At 35.8% G+C, this 10,438-nt stretch overlaps 1 annotated feature.

Moving 5' to 3' along the window:
* Positions 9,954-10,003: an enhancer, noted in NCBI's record as "active region_17063". NCBI's record gives its function as "activates an Ori minimal core promoter by ATAC-STARR-seq in GM12878 lymphoblastoid cells {active_cell/tissue: GM12878}" and the evidence as "EXISTENCE:reporter gene assay evidence [ECO:0000049][PMID:35858748]".

Below are 10,438 nucleotides of genomic sequence, written 5' to 3' on the forward strand. Positions count from 1 at the left end.
CATTGAATGACCTATGGGAAATAAACTTTTACCATGCTTTTAGAACTGATATTAGCAAGCAGTTGTCTAAGCTATATTTTTTCTCTGAATCTGCTAATTTTCATGACAACTATATTTGGTCAAGAAAATATACTATTGAAGTGATGCAACACTTCATCACTTTTCCCCCCATCTGACCTGTTTGCCTTGTTGCAACAACATTTTCAGTTTTATACCCGCAGACCATCATCCCATGCGTAGACCCTGATATTTGAAGTCAATGTTATTTCAACAACTGCATGGTTCGCGAAGGCTAGGGCGGGACGTGGAGACCCTACAAAACACTGGCTGTATGATGAGGAGAGATTCAGCAGCAAGTGGAGACCAGGTAGATAGGCAAATCTCAGAATCAAGAGGGTTTTGGCAAGAAACATTAGCCAGAAATCTATGCAGTGTAAGAGTCAAAGGGAAGAAGGTAGCTATGGACATTGGGGCTTAGAAGAAAATCTGAAGTATTAAGCAAGTGTTAGAAGAATAAGTCTGCATCTTAGTCCTAGAGCAACTACAATCCTGGATGAGAACCAAAGCAGAAGTATGGGCAGAAAGGCAGAGACCAGAATCCTCGACCAGGAGTGGGGACAAAATATCTGGTCTTAAGTGTCAAGAAGCTAAGTTTTAGAAGCTGGGTTTAAGGTCAGAATGAGACTTGATTCTGAGCTTACTCCTGGGATTCTTACAATCTTCCTGTCTAGCACCAAAGATCTGTTCCAATATCAGATACTAGAAGTCAGAGAATTTAGTTGACCTGTTCAAGATCACAAGCTAATTAGTGCTGGGGACAAAATTAGATTCCAAGTTTTCAATTCTCACACCAGGGCTCATTAGAACATGATCTGAATGAATCAGAAATGCAGATAGATATATTTAATTGTTTTTGATATGTTCATTTGTCACTACTGTTTCATAACTGCAAAGAGAATTAAAAATTTAGATCAGATTATGGAACAGATAAATTGAAGTAATTCATAGACCTATCTTGTAAAATATATATACATTTGTCTTGCAAAGGCTCAGAATTGACTGATTTTTCTGATTATTATTTATACATCTCAATGAGTTGAATATAGATGGATTCATTATAGATGGTTAATAATTATGTGATTTTCAGGTCAGAAAATTCCATTACCAGCAAATTGCTGAATAAGACATAATTTCATATATTCATCTTACTGATAGGTTTTTCTTTTTCTTTCTTTCATTATACAAAGTTGATATTAAAGAATTCTGGAGATTTTGTGTCTTGGTTTAAACTTTATTGATCTTTTATTGCCTTTATTTACGAAGTCTTTGAATTAAAAGTCTATATGGGATAAATTCTTATATTATTTGAAAATCAACCATTATCTAAAGTTATTTATGCTTTATCCAGTCATAATTAAATTTATAATTTTATGTTCTGTTTTTGTCTTATAACCTTTAAAGTTAGCATCATAGACCCTTTTTTCATACTGGAAATCGCCAACTGTTGTTTTCATTCTTGAAATTATTGCACTTCAGTCTTGCAGAATTGATATAAAGGAACTAATTTTTTGCATTAATCAAAACATAAAAACCAGTAATATTTCAGGATTGTACAAAATTTATCAGATAGTGGTACCAGCTGATGAACTGTAGTATTACAGCCCAGCTGCCTTAGATATCTCTGGGTTTTGTTTGTTTTTAAGCAGAATTGATTTTTTAAACTGTTGAATCATTGAGCTTTCTGGCCTTCATGGGTCCAGGACATTGATATTACAGTTTCATTTTACTACACAGAACCACACTGAAGAATTAAGGTGAACCTTAGACGGAGGTAGAAACTAACCTCTGAAAATCAAAGTGCTTACAGGAAGCTGCAGGTGTGGGGAGTGGGAGGAGAATGTGCCAAGGCAAGGGGAAGGGAGAGGTTTTTGAGGGAATTTCCGCCACTGAGAATATGAAGTCAGACAATTCACAGTAATAGGAGTTTTTTTGCTTTTTTTTACAAACCAAAAACAGGGAAGAAAAGAAAAGGTCAAAAATAAATGGCACGTCCAGAGACTGGGAAAGAGCTAGAAAGACGACAAAATATTACGTGATGATATCTATTAAATATATCCAAGTTGAAGTCTACACCCTTGCTACTGAAAGTGTGGCACAAGAACTAGCAACATCAGCACCAGATGGGAACTTGTCAGAAACGCAGACTCCTGGGCCCCAACCTAGAAAGATCAAACCAAGATCTGCATTTTGACAATAGCCTCCAGGCTGGTAGAATGCACATTCAGATTTGAGAGTAAAGTTTGGGGAACCTTTTTTTTTTTTTTTTAACATCAACATGAATAGAAATATACATTTAAAGTTATCAAAATTACTAGGAAATTTTTATTTAATGTTCAAATTTCACATTTTAAAATGATGAATAAATATTAGAAATCTTATCAAAATCTGTTTTACTTCTCTCAATTTTCTTCTTATAAAATTATCAAGGTATTTATAAAGCATGTTTAGTTAAAAGCACCCCATTATGTGTTTTATCATATTAAAACATTTTAATTTTTAATTGATTAAAATGAACTATGAGCCTGCTCTCTAAGTTGAAATTACATTTCTTCCTAAGTTTTGTGGCTGGATGATGCTGTTCTTTTACAACATTATTTTAAATAAATGTGTGAATACAAAGCACTGAGCTTGTTTTAAATACTCTACAAACCTGACAATGTTCTTTTTCTTGATCTGGTTACACGAGTGTGTTCAGTTTGTGTGTTAATTAATCAAGCTCTATGTTCATGATATATATACAATTTTGTGAGTGTATATAAAACATTTTAATTACAATTGTTTTCCAATTCAATAAATATTTCAACTTAATGAACATTTAATAAATAGTTCAGTAAACATTACCCTGATAAAAGAAACCTATACCAAGACAGCACATCTACTACCCTTAAAGCAGGTGTTTTGTGAGACTTTATGCATATCCCCAAAGTGCTGATATCGCTGATATTATTTGGGAAATGTCTCATTGGTGGTTTAAGGAGAGTTTCAAAATAGTCTTTAGTGTGACATCCGTCACCCCCCCGTGCTTACTTTATAGTCCCACACATCTTATTCTATTTTGTTTTGTTTTACTCATCATCCACCTTAACACAATTACCCATTAGTCTTGGCTGCAAATGTCATTTAATGCTGTTTAAAAAATTCAAATCCACCATCAAAAACAAAGTTTTCTCATAAAACAGATATTCGAAAATGTACTACCAGCATAGAAAGCAGTTCACAAATGTGAGTTCCAAAATATATTTTGGACAAGGGCAGTCAGTATCAGTGAAGTAAATGTCAATTTCCTCAAGCGTCTGTTTTCAAAAAGTTTACACTCATTTAGACATATGTAATTCTGATATATTTGTTAAAATATTTATTTTATTGTCTTGAAGATGTATGAAATAGCTCAAAAAGGAAATTGGCTAAAATCCATATTGTGTAATTTTTTTCTTTAATTTAAGATGAAAACTTGAGTACAGATAGAAACAGGTAAAGTACTTCACTATAAAAATGATAGAAGGTTCTAGATCAAGTTTTCTATTGGAAATAAAGCCACTATCATGTTTCATCAAATATTAGGACTCAGTGCCAGGGATTTTATTATACACAGGGTATGAAATACTTTATAAATCACCATATCTGCTGACATTCAATTACATTCAGTCTTATTAATATGAACTGTAGAATGTTTTTAGGTGTCTACTGGTAGTAAAACTAGCTTTTTCATTTAAAAAGCTTGGCTTTCCCACATGGCCCAAAAGTTCATATTACACCTTTAAACATCCAAGATTTTAATGCTGATTTTTTTCAATGTTTCAAACTATAGACTAATTACCTGAGTATCTTAAAGACAAACAGCTGTCCATACGCCTAGGGATGGATTAAAATATGGTAAAAGATCTTGCGCAAATCTGATAGTGATTTTTCCATGAAAAAATAATCCTTCCACATCTTTTTCTATATAATCTCTATTTATTCCAGCATAGAAAGCAGTTCACAAATGTGAGTTCCAAAATATATTTTGGACAATGGCAGTATACTGCACAATAATGTATTTTATCAAATAATAAGTGAATCTGGTGCATTTGTATAATAGTTTTGAAATCTCGGCCAGGCGTGGTGGCTCATGCTTGTAATCCCAGCACTTTGGTAGGCCGAGGCGGGCGGATCACGAGGTCAGGAGATCGAGACCATCCTGGTTAATATGGTGAAACCCCGTCTCCACTAAAAAAATTTTAAAAAATTAGCTGGGCGTGATGGCGGGCACCTGTAGTCCCAGCTACTCGGGAGGCTGAGGTAGGAGAATGGCGTGAACCTGGGAGGCGGAGCTTGCAGTGAGCCGAGATCACGCCACTGCACTCCAGCCTGGGCAACAAAGTACTTCAAACCTTTAAAATATTACCTCAGGTATGCCAATAACGTCTCAAAAAAAAAAAAAAAAAGTTTTGAAATCTCTAGGAGAGGAAACAAGTGTCCTTCTTCTTGTAATTCTACAATAATAGGCCCTGTGCAGAACCAGGCAGAGCTAAGTGATTCAACACATCACCATCCTCACACTTTCAGGTAACGTGGACTCATCTTTTCATTTTGTGTGTTCTCTTTCAACTGAAGAATCTTTATGTGCACCCTTTAGATCAGAGGTGTGAAACATTGGGTGTATCTTGAGTCACCTATAAAAACTATAAAACTGTAAGTTCCCATACCTATACTCAAGAATTCTGATTTAATGCTCTTTGCTGACACCTAGACATTGTATTATTATTATTAATATCCCTTGCAGTTCTAATATGGAGTTAGGGTTGAGAACACACTTAAAATCATGGCTGTTGAGAGCTGAAAAGCCTCTGTTTAATTTTTCATGTGATAGAAAAGAGAAGAGATAATCTTGAGAGATGTGCTTCAGGCTTACACAAATTTTATGGACATTTATATAAACCACATAATTTCTTGAGATCTATTTACATATGTATATTGTACAATATAGACATGTCCTTATATACTTGGGTGTCTATCTTATACTCCATATTTACATAGGAATGAATATTTTATTCGAATTTGGTTTAAAATAATATATTCAAAACAAAGTACTTCAAACCTTTAAAATATTATCTTAGGTATGCCAACACCTTGAGTAAGAAATACTTACGCATGACCACTAGGCGGTGCAAGTGATCCATGGTTGTAAATGGTGTAATTCAGAATTAACGTCAAATTGGCAATTATATATACATATATATACTGAAATCATTTGCTATCAGCCAATTTTTTAAAAAGAAATAAATGCTATGATTTATAGTGATAGTAATAGAAACTGCTTTCTATGCCATCTAAGCAATTTTTGCATGCCCACAACACAGTAAGGAGTTCTCTTCCTTTGAAAATATTTTTCTCTAGAGAGGTCACTTGAGTTTTCCAATTGGTTATTTTTACAGTGCAGATTAGTTAAATGGAAAGATTAAATGTTTCCAATGTCTAATTTTAAAACTATGTCTGATGCATAGTTTATTTTCTATAAAAAGTTTTATCAGAACAAAAATAACATTTATTGTTCTTATTAGTGTGAATGAGTCTGAACAGATTTAATTCTTCATTTGTTTCCTTACTTATAAAACTCAAGTTTAGAATGTGCTCAAGGTTGACAAATATTAAAATGAAATTGTGGTAGCTTTCAGAACTTGAGGAGATACATATTTTACTTAGTTTAGATTTTAAATAGTTAATTATTCTCCAAAACTTCCATTTCTTTGTAATGAAAGAGTATTCTAAAATACAAATATGGAAGTCATCTATAGTATTTAATCCAATAAACATTATGAATATCTTTTATTTTCAGGCAGAAAGTGTTGGGACTTCATGAATAAAGAAGAAATGTCCCTTATTCTCAAGGGACATGCAATTTAGTGAATTTAAAAATGTTACAATAGTGCAGATTAGGAGAGTTATCATTCCCTCTCCCCTGCACCCTGTCCCTGGTGTAGTCTTGTTATGCCTCAGGATTAAACACGTTCCCACGTGGCAAGAGTCAAAGTATCCCTCCTGTTGAACAATAGAATTCCCATGTGGCACGATGAGCTTATATGCCAAGCATGAATTCTGTCTTCCAATATTAATACTTAAGCGATATTTTTGACTTTATTGTGAAAGACAACTATGAAGGAAGCAGAGAGAAGCCTACAAACTAAACCAGAAAACTGTTTTTTAGTATTCTAAAAACCTATTTTTTTTCTTACTCAGGAACAATTTCCTAGCACTCTTTTTCTCCAGTGGCTCAGCCTGCTGGTGTCAGACTGAATTCCTCATCCACTGCTTTTTTTTCTCTCTTTTTTTTTTTTTTTTTTGAGACAGAATCTCACTCTGTTGCCCAGGCTGGAGTGTAGTGGCATGATCTTGGTTCGCTGCAAGCTCTGCCTCCTGGGTTCAAGCGATTCTCCTGCCTCAGCATCCCAAGTAGCTGAGACTACAAGCGCCCGCCACCATGCCCGGCTAATTTTTGTATTTTTAGTAGAGATGGGGTTTCACTATATTGGCTAGGCTGGTCTTGAACTCCTGACCTCAGGTGATCCACCAGCCTCGGCCTCCCAAAGTGGTAGGATTACAGGCGTGAGCAACCACGCCCAGCCTGCTTTCCTGTTGAAGACCTTCAAAGATCTCTCTGAGATTTCAAAGCCCTCCAGAATGTACTCCTTTTATGGTAACATTTATCTCCACTCCACACCTGTCCATTTATTATCATGTACAAATTTATATGCATTTTGATGTATGGGAACCTGGGCTGGATTCACTCATGATTTATGCATCAGGAAGTTAAAATGGCTTAAAGTCGTCAGAGATGAGGCTGAATATAGTTAATATTTTTTTTTTCCACTCAGAATTTTCTTGCTGTGGATAGACTACTGCAGAGTTAGTTGCATAAATGTTGATCACTCTGCTGTTTAGACTCAACTTGGGCTCAGGATTCCTGCTGCCTGGTCTTGCCTGCCACCAGCATTTCTGAATCATGTAGGTTATATGAACCCTTGACGCCCTGCCTTTTCACTTACTGTTGAGCCTTCTGATCTATGTTCTGACTTCACTAACCTGTTTGTCATCTGGTTTCACTGGGGCCTGTGGATTCTGATACTTGCTAAACTTTTTGACTTGAATCACTCCCTTGGATGCAGACACTTCCCAGTCCACTCCCATACCTGACCTGTACCTTGATTACCCAATCTTGTTGAACTAACGTGACTTCCACAGCGTGTGCATGGCACCGATACCTAACCAGCTTGTTACTGCTTGTCTCTCAGTGTGGCCTCTTCACCTTTCCCAGGCCATGCTGGGCTCTGCCACAAACACCATGGGGTTATTTTCTTATCTGTGCTCACACCCTGACATTCCTCTTTTCCACTTCATCATCTATCAAAAACATAACTCTGGCCGGGCACGGTGGCTCACGCCTGTAATCCCGGCACTTTGGGAGGCCGAGGCAGGAGAATCACGAGGTCAGGAGATTGAGACCATCCTGGCTAACACGGTGAAACCCTGTCTCTACTAAAAATACAAAAAATTAGACAGGCATGGTGGCAGGCGCCTGTAGTCCCAGCTGCTTGGGAGGCTGAGGCAGGAGAATCGCTTGAACTCAGGAGGTGGAGATTGCAGTGAACTGAGATGGCGCCACTGCACTCCAGCCTGGGCGACAGAGCAAGACTTTGTCTCAAAAACAACAACAACAACAAAAACACAACTCTGAAAACAGTTTACTTCCACTTTCAAAACATATCACAGGATCTTTCTCCTGTAAACCACAGAATTTTCTTATGCCCTGTCATCTGAAAGATTCCCCTCTCCATATCCTGGTTATTTCATTGTTGCCCAGTTTTGAGGCAGATCTTTCTTTCATTGTTTTCTGAAGCTGACAGTCTGACCTTAGCGTTGATCGAGGGTACAGGTTATTAACTTAACAGGAGCCAGTTACGATCCATGTTTGCGCTGTCTGCTGTCCGCATTTGAATTTTTTTGAAATGAGGTGTATTTCAAACAAGTTAATTGCTGTGCTGATGCTCACAGTCAGTGAATGCACCAAGAAATAAGCTAGACTTCACTTTGTAGTAGGAAAAAAACTGACTAGATAGGAAACAAAAAATAGGATTGCATTTTAGTTTCTATTGTCGTTCAGGACAGATATATGCAACCACAGAAGATAATTTGAAGGAGCAAAAATGTAAACAGAAAAATTTGAGAAAGAAATAAAGTTAACCGAGCACACTAATTTAAGTTGACTTCCGTGACTGGTGGACTAGGGGAGAGTCTTGAGGGAACCCAAAGAAAATGAATTTTAGTCTTCACAAATCCAGCATTCCTGAGTAATGGTTTGGCTTGGGGTTGAAGAAGTCAGAGTAAAATAAAGGAAGAAAATGAACTTTAGGGATCCCTAGAGAAAGGTAAAACTGTCTGAAATGGTTGGAGAGGTTTTATAATTCCTAGAGCATCCAAGTAAAACGTATCTTTAGAGAGCAAAAATGGGACATTCTACTCCATGTCAGCAACACCCCTATGTAGTTACACCCTGCCCCTCCCATTCACCTCGAGATCTGCTGCACCACCGTAAGAAAATGTCTTATCTTTCATAATAATGGCTTCTTATGGTGTTCCTACTGGCTCCTTACAGACAAAACAAACTAGAAAAAGTAAGGAGCATAGCTGTGTGTTTATAACTTTTGTGGCCATATTCATTTAACTTAAGTACTTGAGTCATGTATCAAGCATACTTTTAAGGGAATATCACAGGTAAATTACTTAACTTCTCTATGTTTCCATTTCCTAGTCTATAAAATGGAGATATTAAGGTCTAATTTATAGGATATGAGTCTAAACCATACAGAGGGTTGTTTAGCATGATACATAGAAAGCATTTGATACGTGAAATAATGAGAGTTATTATCAGCTACAGAGATTCTGGGGAAAGACTGAGACTGGGGTTCCAGTCACTGGGGCTGTTGGTTACTTTCCTAGATGAAAAATGAGAAGCAAGTTGTTTGGAGCCCACTTCAGGGGTCTAATACTCACATTGCCTGTGGCCATGCCACCCTGAGTGTGCCTAGTCGCATCTAATCTCAGCACAATCACTTGGTAACTTGGTGTCCATAAAAATATCCTGCATTTTAAAAACTATGGTAGAGTATTCTTGATTCTAAATTAAAAACCAAGCTTAACTATTGCAACCAACCAATTTCCTTATCAATTGCCCAACTGTAAAAATGATGCTATCAATAGCTTTAGCAAACATGTATACTGCTTCTGGTCATATTGTATATTTTTTAAAAAATATTCTTTGACTTAAAGCCTATTACTTTCTTCTATGCCTGTTTAATTTTTGCCATTGTCTAGGTCTATAAGGTCTTCGTGACTTCCATAACAAATGCAATTAATCTGTATGCCTTTTAATTAGAATTACATGTATGGGGTCTATTTATTCTGTGACTTCAAACTTTCTTCTATAGGATAGTTAATATATAAAGTACATTAGGGATTCACAATTACCGTTTAAAACTCATTATTGACAGTGCTTAGCAGCAATACCATAATGTTATAAACACATCTATATGTTTCTTTTACTATCTTGCTTTGTGCAGTTGTCTCCCAAAACAAATTCTCCAAATTTAACAAGGAAAATTACATTGCTAATTAGATTTAGGAAACAGCCCGGAAACTAATGAAAAAATAAACTTAGAAATACGGGACAATTAATTCAAAATTATCCATGAAATCTTTACTGCTGCCATGTAAGGTACATTTTCAATTTATTTTTTATAACGCTTGTAAAACAGTGCTTTAAGTAATATATAAGAGCATGAAGAATAACTAGTGGAAGAAAGCACAGAACGAAATTCTTGCCTATGTGGAAAGAGTCTCTTCATTTTCTTGAATATTTTAGATAAATATTACTTATATAATTTTAAGATTTCTTTTACAGTATTGGATGGAACCCCCTATTTAAGTCAGTTTGAAATAAGTGATACCATAATTTGACAGTAGATGGCACTATTGTTATTCTCTAACAATGTGCTGAGTCAGAGTGGGCTCAGCTCAAAAGACGCACATTTTTTCTTTTAAAGCAGGACTACCATCCAAGAATCAATCTTGGAAGTCACTATTCATTGGAAATGACACCAAGGTTTTATTCTTTCGCCACTCTTTCATTTAAAAGAACAAAATTTCCTTCACACCTCTACTGTTAATTGCTCTCTTGTGGTTGTCTAAAATTCTTCGATGTGTAATTTGATTTTAAATATTGTATTGCTTTTGCTGGCACAACAGAACAACATTTTACATAAATGATGCTAAGAAAAATCTATCTCTTCATGGTAAAGATACTAAAACTCTTTACTCACCTTTGATATTTCTTATCCCTCTTTAA

Source organism: Homo sapiens, chromosome 2 (assembly GCF_000001405.40).
Source record: "Homo sapiens chromosome 2, GRCh38.p14 Primary Assembly".
NCBI lineage: Eukaryota > Metazoa > Chordata > Mammalia > Primates > Hominidae > Homo > Homo sapiens.